The 21,644-nt window shown below is 41.2% G+C and overlaps 1 protein-coding gene across 3 annotated transcripts in view; it reads left to right on the top strand.

The window, feature by feature from the left end:
• Positions 1-21,644, top strand: part of DSCAM (DS cell adhesion molecule) — an 836,160-nt gene that overhangs the window by 165,689 nt on the left and 648,827 nt on the right. The gene's annotated exons all lie outside the window — the stretch shown is intronic.

Below are 21,644 nucleotides of genomic sequence, written 5' to 3'. Positions count from 1 at the left end.
CAAAAAGCAGACAGCCCCATCAGGGTAGCCAGGAGTGCTGGTGTGCCAGGTCCTGTGGGTCCCTGCAGCCCTGTCCCCGGCGGCGCCAGCATCCAGCTGGCAGCCACACCACCAGCTGCCGCTGTCCCAGCTGCAAGTAGCCTGGTCTGTGTCAGAACGGGCTGGGGGCCAGTAGGGGACAGGATCCAGGCAGTCCTGGACCAAGCACAGGGGCGGCAGGCAAGCTGCTTCACCTGCATTTCAGATCCTCACTTTCGGGTGCCACGGTTTATTGGGCATCTTCAAGTCCTGTGTTTCCTTCCTCAAAAGGAAAAGGGGGAAATTTGTTAATGGACAAACGACTCATCAGTTTCCCAAGTGATTAGTAGTCTGAAAACATGTGCATGAAAAAATTGCCTCAAAAGTTACCCTTGATTACAAAATCAATTCCAAACAAACTGAATTTTTATTGGATAAACTGTCACCTGTGGTTGAAACTTCAACAACTAGATTCTATTTGCAAAGTTGTATTGACTGTCCAAGGCTCATGTATGGGGGAAGTAATGAGAGTATTTACAGAATATTTCAGTGTGTGTAGTTCCTGAAAATACAGTTATTCCAAAATTAATTCCAAACTAACTGAATTTTTATTGGCTAAATCGTCACCTGTGGTTGAAACTTCAACAACTAAATTCTATTTGCAAAGTTGCATTGACTCTCCAAGGCTCATGTATGGGAGAAGTAATGAGAGTATTTACAGAATATTTGAGTGTGTGTAGTTCCTGAAAATACAATGATGCTGCTGAAAATATTGGCTGTCCAGAATTGGACTTTATGAGCAACAGAAAATCCACAGCACACACTGCTCTGCAGTAGAGCAGAGTCAAAATGTTCTTTGAAAAGAAGCTATAAACAGATACAGTAAATAAGCAAAAATACACAGATCCTGTGTGCTCTTAGAGGTGGTTTCAGGTTTCTGCATGTCTTTCATTTTGCCAGCAGCGCACAGCAGGGCTTGGGTTTGCACTCAGAGGAGCCTGGCTTTGGGTCCCTACTGCACAGTTGTGAGACCTTCCATAGTTAAATACCTCTCTGTGGACCTGGGTACTGTGTTTTTATAAAGATGAAGAGTGCCATAACTGCAGTTTCAGGCCAAGTGAGGTGCTCCATGAATTGGAACATAGCTAAGTAATTCTGGACCTCTAGGTGTGCATTTCTCTATAGAGCCTGTAGATAGTGTGGAGCCTGAAGCCAGTGTCTAGGTCCATACCCCATATTCAACCTGGACCAAGTTACGTAACCTTGAGTTAGTCATATAACCTTGCTATGCCTCAATTTCCTCAACTGTAAAATGGAAATAGGAATAAAAATAACATTATAGTAAGATTGTTATAAGAATTAAATGAATTAATATAGGTAAAGTTCTTAGCACAGTGCTTGACATTAATGTTTGTCATTGTCCTTCTTCTTCTTATTATTATTATCATTATCTTCTGTCTAAAGTGTTTGTATCCCAGAAACCAGAAGGTCAGGACACCGTGGTTTCAAAACAAATAGGCCGTTGTTTGTGTGAGGCTTGTTAGGAAGTAAAAGAAAAGTAGTTCTATTTAAGAATTGCTAAAATGCAAGGTATGCTGAAGAAGTCATGGGGAAATAATCCAAAATCCTTCAATTTCAACATAAAAGCATTAGAATGCTATTGAACTAATAGTCTGTAGGATTTTAAAATAAACAACTCTTTACTTATTTATTAAAACGTTTATTTTTCTTAAATAGCAAAAGTATGATATAAAATGACAATAAGGCAGAATGAAAGGATCTTATATTTTGCCTTAACCATCACAGCTAAATCAGAGTATGTATTTGCAGTAAACATTAGTATTTACATTAAAATACTTGTAGCACATGTCAGTTATTGAATAGCTAACAATTCTATGGCATGCACATGTCAGGTTATACCTAAAAACTTCTCGACAACCCCATTAAGTAATTGCTTTTGTCGGCCCCACTTTACAGATGAGAAGGCTGAGGCAGAGAGAGCTTCAGTAAGTGACCCAAGGTCCTTTCTTGAAATTCTCCCTCTCTAGAAGATAGAGATTTTGCCTTTTCTTAAACTTTCTTTCAGTTTCCCATATTATGTACGTGCATAAGAGCCAACAAATATTGTCGACTGAATGATAACATTACCATTCCAGACACATAGTAGAAGCTTAATACATGTTTATGGAGTGAATCTTGAATAAGAAACTTTTCCATGAGAGTGGTGGTGTTATTTCCTTTTAAATTCTTCTTAATGCTTTAATAAGAGCTTTTGCTTTTCTATATTTTTTTCTACTACTCTAAAATCAAATTTCACATCAGCCTCTCCTCCCAAGGCAAAGAGTGCCTGTGTTGGCCAATCAGGGGCAGCCTGGGATTTCATAGCTGACATCTCCTACGTGATGCCGTTCTGAGGGAAATCGACATTTCAAATTCCCAGTATTTATTATTCCCAAAACAAAAGCTGTCTTCTTTTATTTTCATGAAATGATTTTATTGTTGGAACCACCTACAGCTTTACACTGCAGCATTTGTTAAAAAGCAGGACAGTGCAAGTCAAGGCGAGGCTGACATGCCGAGACCTTCAGAGGCGCGTTACAGCATTTCCTGATGCACTGAATCCATAGCCACACCACGAGCCTCAGACTTTACTTTCAGTTTTTTATCTAAAGGGTTATACACATTTGGTGAGCACAGAGTGTCAACCTGCCATGGATAGCTTTTGTGTGTGAGGGCATGTTGTTTCAAATAGTGATCAATATGCTTCACCAATTTATGATGATGGATCTAAGAATGGTAGAATTTCTGTGTGGAGAAGCTTCAGGGTGTCTTTTTGAGCTGGATACTGGAGCCCTGGAAAGGTTACATGGGGGAAAGGGATGGCAAAAATGACAGCTGCTGAGCCAATCAGATCACCCACACGCGCCCATATGAGGATGTAAATATCACCTAGATCAGCCTCCCATCTCTATCACTGGCTCCGATTTCTCATCGGAGAATTATTTTATAGATGAAGAAAGCACCCAGATGTGAAAAGTCACCTGAGCAGTGAATGGCGGTGCAGGGACTCCAACCTGGGATTTTGTGGTGGTTGTGTCTGCACTAGTTCTGTGTTCAGTTGAAAATTTCTCCATTACTGTCATTTAAGCACTTATTCTGGATAAGGCAATGCTTTTAAAGTTGCCATTTTAAAAATTATATGACCTGTTTTAAAAAGACACAAAAGAGATAGAAACACGCCAGATATAACCTAATTATAATCAGTAGGCTTATTATACTGAAGGAATTACAAAGACTTATTTTTCTGAAAGAAGTTCATTGAAAACTGTACTTCCCAAAATGATTCATTTTGAAATAAACTTATAACTGAGCTTTACTTCAATATCAAATATTTAAAATATACTTTAATGCAAATAATATGTTGTATATCTGAAAATGTTTACCTGTAATTTCTGAAAAAAAAGTATTATATATAAATATTGTCTTAGATTGTTTGGGCTGCATTAACAAGTTACCATGCATTGGGTGGCTTATAAACGACAGAAATTTATTTCTCAGAGCTCTGGAGGCTGGGAATTCTAAGATCAAGGAGGTGGGTAGATTTGGTGTCTGGTGAGGGTTCTCTTCCTGGTTCATAGACAGCTGTCTTCTCATTTTCTCACATGGCAGAAGAGGCGAATGGTGTCTCTGGGGTCTCTTTTTAGAAGGGCCCTAACCTCATTCATGAGGGCTCCACCCTCACGACCTAATCACCCTCCAAAGGATCCACCTCCCGATAGCATCACATTGAGGTTTAGGTTTCAACATATGAATTTTGGGAGGCAGGGAAATAGATCTTCAGTCGATATACATATTTTTTTAATAGATGGAAATATCCTTAGGCCAATGTTTCTTGACTTTTTGGGGGGATCATGGACATGTTGAGTAAGTAATAAAAGCTATGGGGCAGTGGATCTTCAGAAGAACACACCAGTATCGAAAGCTGCAACAGTCCAGGCCTTTTTTGCTTCCTTTCAACCTTGTGACTATCTGCATTCCCTCACCCCCCGGCTCCCACTTGTCCTTACCCAGATTAACCAGGGATTCATACTCCATTAAAATGCCTGATATAGATGTTGGATCGTGTCTTCCTTTTTTTCAACCTAAATTGCATTTTGAAACCTTCAGCCACACTCTTTTCTCTGATCTCTTATTTGTCCTGGTTTCCTCTGCTTCTTTTTATGCACACATTTTTTTTTATCCTCCTATGCCCATTGCATTGTACCAGTATCTTTCACTACAATTGTTCTTGTACCAGGAAAAGTAAAGGGTTTTTATAAAAAGCCTTCATCAAGTCATTTTCAAACTGCAGATGATACTAGGAAAGAAAGGCCATACTGAGATTCCCCCCCGGCTAATTAGATGGTGAAATTTTTAGTTCTCAGCATTGTTATCTGTTTGAATTGAAACCCTATCATTGAAAAAGCCAAATGAACTTGAAATTGAGGAGGGCCATTTCCCAAAACGGAACGCAGCCAGGCTGAATCCCTCGGTGGAGAGCCAGGGAGCACGAGGCCCGGATGCACGTGACTCGTTTCCACAGTTCTGATTTCCAAGCGAAGTAATTTGTTCTTTAAAAAAGTTATTCTAGGATTCAAGACTTTAAAAAAAATCTGTATTGCCAAATGCTTACCATGCATGATGAAATATTGAAGAAAGGTGTATCTCAGCCTTGCAGGTAATTTTTAAATGATCCACAAGGATTTATTCAAGGTCAGTAAATTCTGTGTTCGAACTTTCCATGTCAGTCTGTGTCCCACACTGTGTCCCCATCAAGTCAATTCCTCTGATGCTGAATCTACTCTATTCCTTGCCTCTAAGTAAAAAAATTTTTAAAAATTAAAAAACAAAACAAAACAAAAAAACAAGCAAACAAAAGAACAATACGGCAATCGAAGTCTCAAGCATTTCCTCTTTTACTGAATTCGACACAATTCCATCGCTAAGTAGAGAAAACCTGAACATCCTATTGCTGGCCGTGCCTCCCAGGGTTCTCCAGTAAACCTTTTCCATGAAAGCCTGAAGTCCATTTCAGATGCAAAACATGCAGAACCTCTGGGCTCCGCGAGGCCTGATGCATGACTTTGATAGGACTCTGCACATGCTTAGTTGATGGTCCTGAACATGTGTATTTTCCTGAATTTCTTGTGCTTTTTTTACTGGCTTTGACTTGTTGACATAAGATGAATGTTTCTCTCTTGTTTTATCAAAATATTTAAGTGTTTTTAGTTTTGTATTGAGATTTTTAAAAACAAAGCTTTTCTTGCTAGTAAGGATATGGATGATTACTTTCTTTTCAAGAAAAATGGTGAAACTGGAAAAGTAATTTCATGTATTTAAAATATACACTTGTTGCATAGTTATTGATCAGTTTATAAATTTTACACCTTTTTGGTGGTGGGAAAAATATATTCATAGTGACTTCTATCTTAAATTCTGGATCTAAGACGATGCTGCTTTTTACTAATAGTGGCTATAGAGTATATGTGTTCTTGTAAAATGGTTATGCAGAAGGAGAATAGGAAGGACTATAGATATGTGATTAAAGATATTTCTCTTTTGAAGGGTTAGTTAAATTGAGGAGGCGGCACGAGGGACAAACATTGTAAACTCTGTGTAACAGCAAGGATATTCAAGGTGACAAGGATCAGAACCTCTGTGAAGGTTCAGTAAAATTATTTGTGCACATCAGGTTATTATATAGGATGTAAAAATCCAGTTTTATGGCAAGATTTATTTGTTTATTTGTGACTAACATATACGACCTGAATTTAAAAACTAGAGGCAACACTCATAGCAATTTAGAATGCAGCTTTTCTTGTGATTTAAATTGGACTTATTTTTCTTTAGTCTCCAACCCTTTCTTAGAAGAATTATGGTGGAACAGAAGCTGTAAATTAGGGACAGTTATTTGAACCTAGTTACAGAAACGAAGTTATTGGCGTGGGGATTCTATAGGAGGGACTCTACATTGGATGGAAATGAAGGAATAACTGGAAGAAGAAAGGAGCAAATAGGCCCAAGTATACATTTCACTGTGTGAACCCATAATTCTCTCTGATAGCTGCATGATTAATTCAAAGATTTATTGATTTTTCCCTTCTCTACTCCAGCCTGCTGACCTGGTTTTGTTGACAGGTTTGTGTGGATCAAGCCAATCTGACAGATGAAAGTGTGCTACCATATTAGTCCCCGTGGTCTGGGGCAAATATTTTATACAGTGTCCTTATCAACAGTAACCGAACACATGTGAGGCATCCGTCAACACTCCTTCCCATGCCATGCCATGAAATAGACTCAGAGATGCCAGCCCCACAGCAGAAGCAGCTGGGATTATTCGTTTTAATGAACATGCATCGTGTGTACGTGTGTGCGCGTGCATGTGTGTGTGTGTGTGTTTATATAATGAGGTGGGAGTGTGGAAGTTATGGCATTTTTACTCTTAGTAACAAATATTAACTGACAGTTAGCTTTTAAAAATACCTTTATGGGCCGGGCGCGGTGGCTCACACCTGTAATCCCAGCACTTTGGGAAGCCAAGGCGGGTGGATCAGGAGGTCAAGACCATCCTGGCTAACACGGTGAAACCCCGTCTCTACTAAAATACAAAAGATTAGCCGGGCGTGGTGGCAGGCGCCTGTAGTCCCAACTACCCGGGAGGCTGAGGCAGGAGAATGCCATGAACCTGGGAGGCGGAGCTTGCAGTGAGCCGAGATCGCGCCACTGCACTCCAGCCTGGGAGACAAAGCGAGACTCCGTCTCAAAAAAAAAAAAAAAAAAGAAAAAGAAAAAGAAAAAGAAAATACCTTTAATGATACCTGAGATTTACTTCAAAACAATCCATTGCCAGGGGTGAGGTTGTAGCCTGAATTGATAATTTCTGAAGCTGGGGGATGGTACATGGAGGTTTATTATACTCGTTATATCCTTCATGTGTGTTTAAAATATTCTATAATGAAAAGTTGAGGAAAAACACCTATAAGACAAATCATATTTTTTACTTGAAACTTCAGATTACATGTTTAAACATGAGCAATTGGCACATGACCAAGCCAGGAATAGGCAGATTATAAATGTCATATTTTAAAAATTAATGCTACAACAACTGAAGCATTTTTCTGTTGGTTATGAGCTCTAAATTCTGGCCAAAGACTAGAACCACAAATAAAATGGTCCTTTAAGACTAGTGAATCATCTCCAAGTTGAGTGTATTCCTTCTCAGCTAATAAAATGAGATATTTTTGACCAACATTTCTCAAACTGTGTCCATGGAGAGATTAGGAAGATAGGGAAAAGATTATGTGGATTCTGGTTCAAAAAATTTTAGGAAATAATACATTAAGCAATAGCAACCCAGTTCCATGCAGCACGAATGTCAAAGTGATTGTGGCCACTTTTTAAAACCAATTAAATTAGTTTATTTTTATTTTTATTTTCTCTTTTTAGATGTATTAGTCCATTCTCACATTGCTGTAAAGAAATACCTGAGGCTGGGTAATTTATAAGGAAAAGAGATTTAACCGGCTCACGGTTCTGCAGGCTATAGAGGAAGCATGGTGCCAGCAGCTGCTTCTGGGGAGGCCTCAGGGAGCTTTTACTCATGGTGGAAGTCAGAGCTGGAGCAGAAAGTTCACATGGTAAAAACAGAAGCAAGAGAGAGTGAGGGAGGAGCTGCATACTTTTAAACAACCAGGTCCCATGAGAACTTACCATCTGAAAAATATTGTGGATAGTGCTAAACTATTCATGGGAAATCCACCCCCATGATCTAATCACCTCCCCAGGCCCCACTTCCAACATTAGGGATTACAGTTCTACATGACAGCTGGGCAGTGACACAGATCCAAGCCATACCACCAGACCACTCATGTTATTCTATAGAATATAATTTAGAAAAAACTACTTCCAACGTAAGGCCACTAGAGGTGATTTGCATAAAATTGAGGTTGTTTAAGGCCTTGAGTTCAACAATTCAGGGTTAAATATGAGTTAGATGTTTTCATAGGACCAAACAACATTTATAGGTCTTGAATAAATCTGAAATTTCTACTTTTATAAAGTCTAATATGTAGATACACTGGGTTTCATTGGATTCTAATTCCATTTTTTGTATTTTGGGGGGGGCATCATTTTTATCTTTACTACCGTAAAACAAGACACCATCACAGCCAACTCCAAATGGCCAGCTGTGAAGTGGAAGGAAAGATGGAACAAGAGGCAACCAACCATGTGTGGGTGCTCAGGTGGAGGGGACTGTGGTTGGTGGAAGACCCCTAAGTGGAGTGAGCTTGGATAGGGAGTCAGGATGGGAGGTGGCCAGGGAAGGGATGGGGCAGGGCCAGCCTGCATATGAAGGGCCTTCCTGGTTAAGGCAATAGCTTTGGATTTTTATGCAGGGATAATGGCAAACTGTTGAATTCTGGGCTGGGGATTGATGTGACTGCTGTTGCTGTGTGGAGAAAAGTGCGGGGGAGAGCAAACATACCATTAGATGACTAGTAGGAGGCTGGTGGAGACTGACTTGAGTGGCAGACATGGGGACAGAGAAAAAAAGGACAGATGTGAGAGATGTTTGGGGAAGCTTTGGTATGTTGGCTGATAGATTAGATGTGGGGGTGAGAGAAAGACAGTCATCAAGGATGATTCAGGTAAGGAATTTAGTGCATGTTGGTACCATCAATAGGTGTGGAAACTCTATTATTTAAGGTTATCAATCAGAAATTGAATAGCATTAATAATAGGCAAAGCCCTTTAGGCACTCTGTTCTTGGTGTATATGTGTGTGCGGAGGATGTCCTGTGAGCCACTTAGGCTCACTATAAATATCTTTCTGAAGCCTTCCTTGAATATACTACTCTGGCCTCCTACCTTTGCTCAAGCTGTTTTCTTTTTTCTGTTTCACCTTCAGCTTTATCTTACTCATGCTAGGTCAGACTTATCACTGACTTCACTGCATTTTTGTTGGCTGATTTCCAGTTAGTCAAAATAAAAGAAAGTGGATAGTTTTGGCCTTTGAAGCAAAAAGAGACACAGGGACCTCTCTTTCCAGCTTCCAACTCCGGATATAGCAGTTGATGGTCGACATCTCACAGTAATTATTAGGCACTATAATTTTGCTAAATTTACTTAAGCTAAACTAAAGACCACCAAGAGCACCTTCTACGGACTGATGTTATGTCCCTCTCTAAAAGCCATATATGTTGAAGCCCTAACCCCCAATGTGACTGTATTTGGAAGTGAGGCACTTAAGGAAGTAATTAAGATTAAATGAGGGCATCAGGGCAGTACCTAACCCAATAGGACTGGTGTCCTTATAAGAAGTGGGAGAGACACCAGAGAGCTTGCTCTTTCTCTCTCTGCCATGTGAGGACACAGAAGGTGGCTGTCTGCAAGTTTGGAAGAGAGCCTTCACCAGATACACAGTGGCTGGAAACTTGATTTCGGACTCTGGCCTCCAGAACTGTGAAAATATAACTTTCTGTTGTCTAAGCCATCCTGCCTGTGGTATTTTTTGCAGCAGCCTAAGATGACTAATACAGCACCCTTCTGCTCTTCTGTCTGACTGTGGTTTCTTGGAGAACTGCTGTCTTATATTCTTCTTACTTCCAATGGTCATTCAATTTCCATACGGTTTCCATGTAGTCTAATGTCAGTTCATTTTTATAAATTTAAACTATTTTTCCATTTTTCCCATAGTCATCCTTTTTTTTTTTTTTTTTTTGTTTAAGGAATCATCTTGCTCTGTTTCCTAGGCTGGAGTGCAGTAGTGCAATCTCGGCTCACTGCAACCTCCACCTCCCAGTTTCATGCAATTCTCTTGCCTCAGCCTCCCAAGTAGCTGGGACTACAGGCACACACCACCCACCACACCTGGCTAATTTTTGTATTTTTAATAGAGACGGTGCGGGGGGGGAGTTTCACTATGTTGACCAGGCTGGTCTCGAACTCCTGGCCTCGTGATCCACCCACCTCAGCCTCCCAAACTGCTGGGATTACAGGCATGAGCCACTGTGCCAGGCCTCTTTGTTCATGTTAGTGTATGGAGACTTTTTTATTTGTTCAGGCTAGTCTGTTCGCCTTTTCTTCCTTTGAAGAAATTATCTGTTCTCCTTATAAGTTTTACAGTGTTCAAACTTTGGATCATGTCTTTTTCTCTCTTTGATCTCTTTCTAAATATCCCTTTATTTAAAACTGTGCATGGATTTTCTCCTAAAATCATGTGGTGAGGAAAATGAACTTTTACATTTCTTCAGGAAAGTAAACCTGGTCAAAGACTACAGTTGGGAGAAATTTTAGACACTCACGTATGTGACTAGACTGTGGATGTGAATGGTGTCTCGTTAAGCTTGTCTCAGGCTTTCATATGGCAAAGTAGTATTTTTAAGTTCTTTTTAGGTCCTGCCTTTACCTCAGGATGCATTTTCTTATAATCTGATTACAATATTTTTTAATGGAGACTATTTTCTCTTGTACAAGTTATATGACAAAAGTACATTTGGCTTGTCTTCTGTTTGTTTGAGTTGATTGTGTTCTGATTAGGAATGCTAAGTCACCTATGCAAAAGCAACTGAGAACTAACTTAAAAACATGAATTATTGGGGAAATGTTTGTACACCCATGTTCATAGCAGCATTTTTTGCAATCGCCAAAAGATAGGAACAGCCCAAATATCCATCACCCAATGAATGAGTAATGCAAATGTGGTACATAACATTCCCTGGAGGATTTGTCAGTCTTGAAAAGAAAGAGAACTCTGACATATGCCACAACAATCTTGAGGGTATTACGCTAAGTGAAATAAGCGTGTCACAAAAAGACAAATACTATATGATTCCACTTATATGAGGTATCTAAAGTAGTCACTTTTTTTTTTTTTTGAGACGGAGTCTCGCTCTGTCACCAGGCTGGAGTGCAATGGCGCGATCTCGGCTCACTGCAACCTCCGCCTCCCGGGTTCAAGCGATTCCCCTGCCTCAGCCTCCTGGGTAGCTGGGACTACAGGCACACGCCACCACACCCAGCTAATTTTTTTTTTGTTTTAGTAGAGATGAGGCTTCACCATGTTGGCCAGGATGGTCTTGATAAGCAGTCAAATTTACAGAGGCAGAAAGTTAGAACGGTGGTTACCAGGGGCTGGAAGGAAAGAGAAATTGAGAAATTGTTTAATAAGTACCGAGTTAACAATACTGAACTGTCCTCTAAAAATGGGTAAGATAGTAAGTTTTATGTTACATGTACTTTACCACAAATAACTTAAAAAACGTATTGCACCTCTTCTCTTAAAATAGCTGCATGGGAAAATTGATTTTATTTGTAAGTAAAGACCTAGGTGAATTAACTTGAACTAGTACTATATTGTGACATTGTATTTTATAAACAACTTCCAAAATCATAATCATAATTATTTTGTCCTGGTATTTTTTTAAAGGATGTGTGTGATGGTATTGAATTTGGACTTTTTTTTTTATTATAGCCATATGTTGAAAAAAATCAAGCCTTAGAAAATGAAAAGTATATTGTAGGCTTAAAAATTATAATAACATGGTCGGGCGCAGTAGCTCATGCCTGTAATCTCAGCACTTTGGGAGGCCTAGGCGGGCAGATTACCTGAGTTCGAGATGAGCCCTGCCAACATGATGAAACCCCATCTCTACTAAAAATACAGAAATTAACCAGGCGTGGTGGCACACGCCTGTAATCCCAGCTACTTGGGAGGCTGAGGCAGGAGAATTGCTTGAGCCCGGGAGATGGAGGTTGCAGTGAGCCAAGATCAAGCTGCTGTACTCTGACAGAGCGAGACTCTGTCTCAAAAAAAAAAAAAAATATATATAACAACATTTGGGAAAATAGAATGATAGTAATTTTATCTGTCTTTATATTCTTTAACACTTTGGTGACTGAATTATAGACAACTAGTGTATAAGCTACAGGAAAGCAGAGATTTTGGTCTGTTCTGTTAATTTCTAGAATAGTAACTGGCACATAGGAACTCCATGACTCTTCATTTAATGAGTACACGTTGAGAGTATCCAAGTACTAATTACTCTTTGGGCACGTGGATTGTGGAAGTGTGGAGACCAGTCCACAGTTCTCCTAGATATAAGGAGCTTTCCCTGTGTCTGTTGATCACATAATTATTCATCAGTGAGCTCTTTGTTGCTTTTGTATCTTAGGGTAAATAATTTAAACAGATCATATAGATAAGACACTGAAAATCTCTCCACTGAGAGGTGGAGAGATTCGTCTAGGGTCTCAAAATAAATGACTAACAGAATTGTTCTCTGTTCAGGACACTAAGTGATGCAAGAAATATTTAGTGACCACCGACTCTGTGAAGGTCTTGAGCTTGGCTTTGTGAATATAGCTATGAATAAGAGAAATACGCAATCCCTGCACTCAAGGAATTTATTATCTGGTGTGTGTGTGTGTTTGGCACGGAGGTGATATAACTGCTTCCTGAACTCAATACAATCTTTTCATTACAGAGCCTCATTTTAGCCCCAATTTCTGTATCTTTTCTTTGTTTTTTTCCCAATCACTATCTTTTGACTGGACTATACTACTGAAAGGAAGTGGAGTCCTTAGGCATCTCTGGGTGGTCTGGAGTGATCTCATCTTCCAGGAAAGCTGTTACACAGACGTTAGTTTCTGAAAATGATATGACATGCAGCTCACTGTAATACAATCTATTAATTCAACAGATAAAGTTTTATGTTCTAATCTCCCAGAATAGTACTTAAACAGTTTAGTGCACATGAATCACCCAGGAATCCTGTTAAATAAAGCAGATTCTGATTGAGTAGCTTGGTGTGGGGCCTAGGATTCTGCATTTCTAATGAGCTCCCAGGTGTTGCTGAATCTGCTGGTCCAAGGCTGGTATTGTCAGTGACAAGGCTGCAGGTTCTTAGCCCTGGTTGTTCATTACAACCCCCTGGGTGGATTTTTACAAATACCAATGCCCTTAGAGATTTGCTTTAATTGGTCTGGGCTTGGGCTCCAGCATTCATATTTTGAAAAACTTTCCAAGTGAGTTTTATGTTCTACCAGCACTGAAGACCACTTCCCTGCACAAACACAACTGATGCTGCCTGTCATTGTGTGTAACTGAATCCACTGATGTGAGTTGGTGCATATCAGTACCTTTTATAAATGCAAGGAAGGCTGGAGGCTGGGGAAATTGTCATAAGACAGCACCCAGTGCAGGGACTAGTGTACAGCAGTGTGTTTGCTGAATAAGTGAGTGAGGCAACGAGTCATTTTCAGACACTGTAGAGGATGGCTAGTGACTGGATCCCAGTGCTGTTGCCTGGAGCTCTAGCAACTGTATTTGGTATCTCTAAACATGCTGGCTATGGGATAGCAGAGTTAATAGAATGAGACTGGGGCCTTCTACTTCCAGATAAAAATTTGGAAAGGTATTAGAAGGAAGGTACTGGGGAAATAAGTTTTGATCTATGATAGATAAGATAATTGAAAACCAAACCAAAGAAATTAAATTCAGAGTGGAGAGGTGTATTAGTCCATTCTCACACTGTTATGAAGAAATGCCTGAGACTGGGTAATTTATAAAGAAAAGAGGTTTAATTGACTCACAGTTTCACATGGCTGGGGAGGCCTCAGGAAACATAGAATCATGGCAGAAAACAAAGCAAACACATCCTTCTTCACATGGCGACAGGAGAGACAAGTGCCAAGCAAAAGCGGGGAAAAGCCCCTTATAAAACCATCAGTTATCATGAGGACTCACTCACTATCACGAGAATAGCATGGGGGTAACTGCCCCCATGATTCAATTACCTCCCACCTGGCTCCTCCCACAACATGTGGGGATTATGGGAACTACAAGATGAGATGTTGGTGAGGACACAGCCAAGCCATATCAAGAGGCATAAATCGAAGGTAGCCTTCCAGGGACTGAGGTCAGATTTGTCCCAAGTTAGACACTTTGGGCACATATTTTCAACAGACATTCCACAAAATATGCAAGTATTTATTTTTTGATAGTATGTTTAAATACAAATAGAAATCAAGCCTTAAAAATGACTCGCTGATGAAACTACATTTCTCCTGCTCGGGACTGCATTTCAGATACTGTCCATTTGCATCTGGGTCCATGATGTGCTGTTGAAATAACATGAACTCAGCTTGTAGGTGAAGGTGGGGAGGGAAACATGCATTTTTCCATCTGAACAGAAAGTGTGTTCTGGCTTTTTTCTGAGATATTATTTTTATTGAATTTTAAGACCCACACAGGAAGTGGCTTTCACTTGGTTTCATCTTCCTGATCAGTGCATGTTGGGGACAAAGGAGAGAGGAGGGAGTTAACCTGGATAAGTCTGCTGCTTCTTCGGGAGAGTGGGGCATCCCACCAACCTGCTGCCCATGTTGCTTTGTGGGGATACATGAAGCAGCTTCTAGAAAGGCTTCTCTAGGAGCTTGGTGAGGCTGTGCAATGCCTTTTTTGCAAAACGCTTGCTGTTCACTAATGGAGCAGATGAAATAATAAAGCCAACCAAGGAAGCAACTTAATGGGGAACTAACCAGCCACAGTGGCTTTTGGAACTCTTGTGCCTTGCTGCACATCACTTTGAAGTAGTCTGTGGAGTCCATGCTTCTGATCCTTGGAACATTTGGTTCATTTTTATGTCATTGTTGTCTAGCGCTAACCGCAACTGGTCCCATAGACCTGAAGTAGCCCAGGTGCAGGGGCAAAGCAGTGGCCAGGTGTGAGTGCTGAGGGCCTAAATATTTCAAGTACAAAACGCCCAGGAAAACAACCACCGGGGGCTTTACCATACTTATAAAAAGGAATCCTTCCCTCTGAAAGCCTCCAGCCTGACTGTAGGCAGAAGCAGAAGCAGCCATTGCCCATGCAAGGTGAGGAAGAACAGGTGTTGGTGAACAGAGTGGGCTCAGGTCATCATTTGTGTGGCAAAATTCTATCAGGGATGAAAGTATCAGCAATGGGACCACCTGGAACCCAAGCTCTGCCACTTTCTTGCTATGTGATCCTGGGTAAGTTATTTAGCCCTTCTGTTCCGCGGTTTTCTCCTCTGGAAAATGATGAGGATGATACTACTCTGCTCATAGGGTTGTTTTAAGGGTTAAATGAGGTACTGCATAGAAAACACTCATCTCAGGGCTGGGCATGCACAGTGCATGGGTGTAGCTATCATCATCCTCCTCATATTTAGAATGCTTTTCTGTGGCCACCCATCATCAGTATGTGCCTATCTTCATCAGCAGTGAAGAGGACAGAAGCTTCTTTCTCCCTTCCTGGCATGCTGGAGATGTGGTTGGTCTCCTCAGGTTACCATTAAATTGTTGGCAGTCCCCACTGAGAGTAGGGATGCAGCCAACTCCACAGGCACCTGAGGAGCTGGCCCTCTAGCAGGTGTCAGCCAGGAGAGACATTTACCAAACTGAAGTTGGGGAAAAGCCTGAGCTGATTCCACACTCTAAGTCACCTTAGGGCCCAAAGAACAGGTGGCATGAGATACTCAGGGAATGCTATGGCAGCGTGCCTAACCATGGTTCTGCAATCTTCACACCCGAGGTCATGGCAGCGGACAATTTCTGTCTTCTGGATAAGATGGGGGTGTATCTGTCTGTGAGCATTCATTCACTGATTCATTCAAAGTGGATGGATTGGGCATTGCCATGGACCAGACCCGGCACAGATGGGGTGCCCAGGGTGGAACGGTGAGCAGTAGTGCCAGCTGTGTCTGTGCTCATGGGCCTATGGTCTTGGGGAAGACCTCAAGTAATCATGTAAATAATGACCTGCTTACAATTGTGAGACCTGCTGGAAATGAACAACAGGAGTGGGGGCTGTACGGGGAATTTCAGGGGACCTGGCCTGTCAGAGGTCAGGGAATTTATGCCCTGGAAAGTGACAAGTTGTCCTTTAGATTGGTTAAAGAAAAATGAAAGTGCGGAGAGGACATTCCAGGCAAGGGGAACAGGTGCAGTGGGCACTCACAGAAGGCCAAGGGGACAGCCCTGTTCCACAACAGCCTGCTCAGAGTCCAGTTTGCTCCTTGCTCCTGATTGGAGATTTTTCACATACTGTCTCCCAGCAGAGGATTCTGTCCACAGGTATTGACAGGGCCTGGCTGGTCTCTTCTTGTCATTCAAGTTGTAGTTCAGGAAGGATGCACCCAGAAGGCTGCTTTTGACTACTCACTCTGAATTTGCCACCTCCCCATGCCCAGCCTGCCTCTGTGTTTTCTTTGAAATTCTGCCGTTCCTTTATTCCTTTGCTTGCTATTTATAAAGAAAAGAGGTTTAATTGGCTCCCAGTTCTGCATGCTGTAAAAGCCTGGCACCAACATGTGCTCAGCTTCTGGTGAGGGTCTCAGGAAGCTTGCAATCATGGCAGAAGGTGAAGCAGGAGCACGCACACCACACGGGGAAAGCAGGAACAAGAGGGAGAGAAGAGGAGGTTCCAGACTCTTAAACAACCAGATCTCCTGTGAACGAACTGAGTGAGAACTCACTTATCACCAAGGGGATGGGAGGTCCACCTCCAGGACCTGGTCACCTCCCACCAGACCCCACCTCCAACACTGGGAATCACATTTCCACATGAGATTTGGAGGGGACAAACATCCAAGCCCTATCACCTGTGTACCATTTGTTGCTTCTCCTCTGAACAAAAGTCCTCAAAATAGGTTCTTCGTCACATCCACTGTTGTCCCTTATTTTCAGGACACTGTCTGACAATCTGACAAGGAAGTAGTGGGCACTCCACGTCTGTGGAGCAATGGACAGTGGCTCCCAGTCTGGCCAAATTTCCCTAACATGAAAGCATGGAACACTTCCTCTCACAGGTCAAACGCGTGGAATGAATTTGCAATGCAATTCTCGGCACAGCTGACTTTCCTTGTTGCTTCTGCTGGTTTTGATCACTTTCCCTGGGGTGCTGTGCCATCAGGAGCAGGGGCCTCCTCTTTCCTCTCCTGTCGGTCCTCTCCAAGTGATCTGCAACTTCATCCCGGGGGGAAACAGGGCAGGGAACTTCCTCCTCAATTTCTGATATTGCAAGGTAGCAAACTCACACAGGCCTTGATAACAATAAATGAAGAGTCAGGTCTTTACAAATATGATGAGAAAATACAATGGAAGTCCCAGTGGGGAGTCCCCACTTACTCCTTCCATGCCAATACAGATCTCCCTACAGACTTTACCACTGGTTCTATATATATGCGATGCCAGTGGGAAGGTATTTCTCAGCCGTTAGAATAATCCATTTCCTTTATCCCGGACTATGGATAAGAGGACATTTGCAGGAGAGGGGAGACACTTAGGAAGAAAAGACTGGCTTTGTGAATAGAAATACATTATTTGTGCATATGTTGTAGCTCGACTAGACTTTGAGCAGACTGATATCTGAAAACATATTTATAAGCCTGTTATAAACTCATAATTCTAAAATATTGAATTTTATTTATTTTGCATCTATAAACTGAGTTTTGAATTTGTGCAGTAATTTGCATTATTCAGAACTCTTGATTGCAAGTGACAAACAGAAATCAAAAAAAAGTCTTATTGGCTCACAGAACTGAAAACTCCAGGAGTAACTGCCTTCAGGCCCAGAAGCATCAAGGTGTCCAGAAACTCTGACAGGAGCACCTCTCACTCTTGCTGTCAGTCTTACTGCTCTTGGAGTACTCTGGTTTAGATTGGCTCCTTGGCATACCTAGCATGGCACGTTGCACACAACCCCAGTGACAGTAGCTCAGTAGCCAGGGGGAAAGAGTCTTCTTTCTCCAAAATCCCTGAGAAGGGTCATGTCACATGCCTATCTGTGAACGAGTCACCATGTCTAGGGGCACAGAGGTGATGACCTTGGTCTCATGCCCATGAGGGATGGCTCCTCAAAGGAAAACCCAAGTGCTCTTATTCTAAGAGGGAGAATTGGATGCCCAGAGACAAAGTCTATAGATGTACGTGGTCCAGTGTTGAAGCGGTGGGAGGAGAGTGCCGGCAACACAGGCAATTCCACGTTGTGTGCGACTGGCCTGTGCATATGGAGGTGTTCAGTGACCTGGCCCTGGACACTCCTGCTAACAGGACACACACATACTCTCTTACACACATACATGTCCACACACACCACACACACACACATATACACCCCCCCCACACACACACTTTGACATACACTCACATGCTTATATTCCCCCCACACCATGCACAGACATACACTCACATGCACATATGTCATACACACACCACACACACTGACATACATACACTTAACATGCATACATGCACACACCACATGACATACACTCACACATACACACCACACACATACATACTACACATACTGGCATACACACAGGTGCGCACACACACACACTCACATGTGCACACACACACACATCATTGACAACTATGAAAAGCCCCTGCATACCTCAGAGCCCCTCAAGCTGGGCTTCTGATGACACCTCAGGCACTCTCCCCTTTTTATTTTGTTTCCCATTTACTTCCTACCTTACCCTGTTCAGGCTGCCGTAATAAAGTTTGATGGACTGCGTCGCTGAAACTACAACAGTTCATTTCTCATGGCTCTGGAGGCTGGAAGTCTGAGATCAAGATGCCCGCAGGGTGCTGGTGAGGGCCCTCTTCCTGGTGGCAGAAGCCGACTTCTCCTTCTTTCTTTGCCTGGCAGGGAGCAGGGAAGGAAGTGAGTGGTCTTGTGGCTCTCTGAGGGCACTGATTCCATTCTGCCCCACCTCCCATAGCATCATGTTGGGGAACAGGGTTCCAGCATATTAATTTAGGGGACACAAACATCCAGCCCCTAACACTTCCATTCTCATTAATTGCCTTCAAAGAGAGCTAAGCTAATCCTAATGGTAACTTTGGCATAAAGCAAAACTTTGAGAAGATGACATCTGATATCTGCTGTTCAATGCATGCTTGTTGGGAGAAGAGTGTTAAGATTTGGACTTTGCGTCACTTATGGCCAAAATAGGACGCTCCTGTATGTCTGCACTTGAATTTAAATATGCCAGTCTCAATATAAAGCACGGAACTCATGCTGTTTAAGCAAGAGCACATATTAAGGCTGGCATGTCTGTCAAGATAATAATTTTGATAGAGGATTAAAAAAAGGAAAAAAATGTAGAGAACTGAAGGTAAAAGATAGCCAGGATTAGACCTTTCAATATTAACAGTGAACTTTCTTTAGATATTTCTTACATAATCATCAATGCTTATAAATTCTAGTGCTTCTGTCTTTTCACAGTGTTGTGTTTTTGTTTGTTTGTTTGTTTGTTTTAACAACGTAATGTGCTTATTCCTCAGGCTTCAGGTAACCTCTGTAATTACACACCCAGTGCTGATGCCCACGGGCTGCCACAAGGCTGGGCATGTTACTTTATGCTCTAACCCTATGTGTTCAATAAGTACTTTGAAAAAAATAATATCTTGCTAGGCATATTTTAAATCATAAAAATCTCAATTTTAGGGTTTTCTTCCCTCAAATGTTAATTTACTATATTATTTACACTTATTTGCCAAACAGGGAACTTTTGCTCAAAGAAACAGGTGCAGTTTTAGAAGCTGAAATTAAACACCTCTCTATTCTCATATTGCCTTTTTTCCCTTTGGACACGCCCCAAAGCAGACATCCTGCTTACAAAAGAGAGCTTAATGGCCTCCCTCCTGCTCTCCCTGCCTGAAGTCTTTCTAGAATTTGGAAATATGTCCATTTTGTTAGGGCAATCTGTTAGTGTTAATGATTTTATCAATCTAAACTCCACTAAAAGAAGCAAATCAACACAATGCTAATAAATTCTGTTTGTTTTCTAATCCCAAGAAGACACAATAAATTAACATACATTTTTAATTTTAATTATAAAACCTTTCAAATAGGGATGTTGTCTCTCTTATCCTCACTGTCATTCTTGTGCCTGGTACAGAGCAGATATTTTGTGAGGGTTATTTTTGTTGTCGAATAATTGTATTTTAAATACACAGAAAAGGACAGAGAGTCACAAAAACAAAAAGCACGAAAGAAAACAAAAACCAGGTACTTAAGCCCAACATAGAGTCAGATGTTTATGCTTTGCCACATTTCATTCATTCCTTTTTTTATGAATACGAGTGTTAGATAGAATTGAGGTCCCACTCACATTTTCTATACACATCTTGAAACCTCTGCAACGTATTTGTGAATCTGTAAACCATAGAAACTAACACAGTGTATTTTTCAAATGCATATAAATGATATCGTGCATGCTAAGATTTTTCTTAGATTTCCTATAAATCATTTCAATCAAACTCTCCCTACTTTTCTGTGGAAACTATGTAACAAAATGCTCTATTTCCGGAAGCCTCCAGGCCAAGGGTGAGTGAGCCTGGGGTGTTCAAATGTAATCAGAGTCCAAAACAGGCCCTTGCTTGGGCTCAAACTAAACTGAGTTAAGAAATTAGCCTGGAAGGGAGAGAAGGTGATGTCAGATCTTAATAGGATAACATTGCCATGAGTTCTCCTTGCAATAGAGGAGGCTGCTTTTCTTCAGCAGTTATTGAGATGTATGTTTCTTTTTTCACTAAATTTCTGTTATTGTCGGTTGATTTTGACCACAGGTTGTTGTCTTATTGTCTTGACTGTCAAGGACATATAATGGCAGAGGGATTCTTAGGTCAGCAGACATGCTCTCAGCTTAGGCAAGCCTCAGGGGCTGTATGTGTTTCAGAATTTCTCACATTTTAGATAGCTATCTAAAAGTAAATGTTACCATACTCTGCATGTTTTCTACACCCTCACGGTGGAATGTGGGGCAGTAATGCTTCAAGATTTCTTCAGCAGAACTGTGGAATTTTTATTCTGTGTGTAATGAACAAGGCTCAAATAGAACCTCACGTCCATTTGGGCCATGTTTTGGCAGCAGGTGAATCATGAAAATACTTTTTCATTTTTGAGGTATTTTTGGATTGTGGGATTGCAGATAAGGGATTGTAGATGGGTGTTATTGTTGTTGTTACAATATAAATTTCTATAACTTCTGGCCAGTTGTTAGAATTATCCCTTGTTTTTCAATGTTGACTCCTATCCCTCCCTACCTCTCTCCCTCCTCCTTTGATTTCTTCTTTCCTGCTTTCCTTCCTTCCTTTCTTTCTCTTGTCATTTCTTTAGGATTTGAAGAGAGGGCACAGTATACGATCTTTAAGGACTCAGATTTTCAAGTTAAGCATATCTGTGGCCAAATTATCTTTCTGCTGCTCATTAACTGTGTGGCCATTTTTCTATGTAACTTCAGGAGTTTCAGTTTCCTGAGATAATCATATCTACCTCCTGTGGTTTTGGGAAGATGCAGTAAGGTGATGGATGTCAAAACATTTAACACAGTCTTTAGCATATAACTAGCACTTGATAGATGACCACTGCTAGTATTGCTGTTGTCGTTACCATATCACACAGCATGCACCATTTGCTATTCTCTTTTAAGCAATGAATTTATTCACATTCAATTTCTTGAACATTTTTGAAATGCATCTGGTCTTCGCTTACATGTATGTTATTTGGCAACCTGTCTGAAAATATTATTAATTATGGTTTCTATCGTTGGC

Source organism: Homo sapiens, chromosome 21, assembly GCF_000001405.40.
Source record: "Homo sapiens chromosome 21, GRCh38.p14 Primary Assembly".
Taxonomy (NCBI): domain Eukaryota; kingdom Metazoa; phylum Chordata; class Mammalia; order Primates; family Hominidae; genus Homo; species Homo sapiens.
This window is presented reverse-complemented; position numbering and strand designations above follow the sequence as displayed.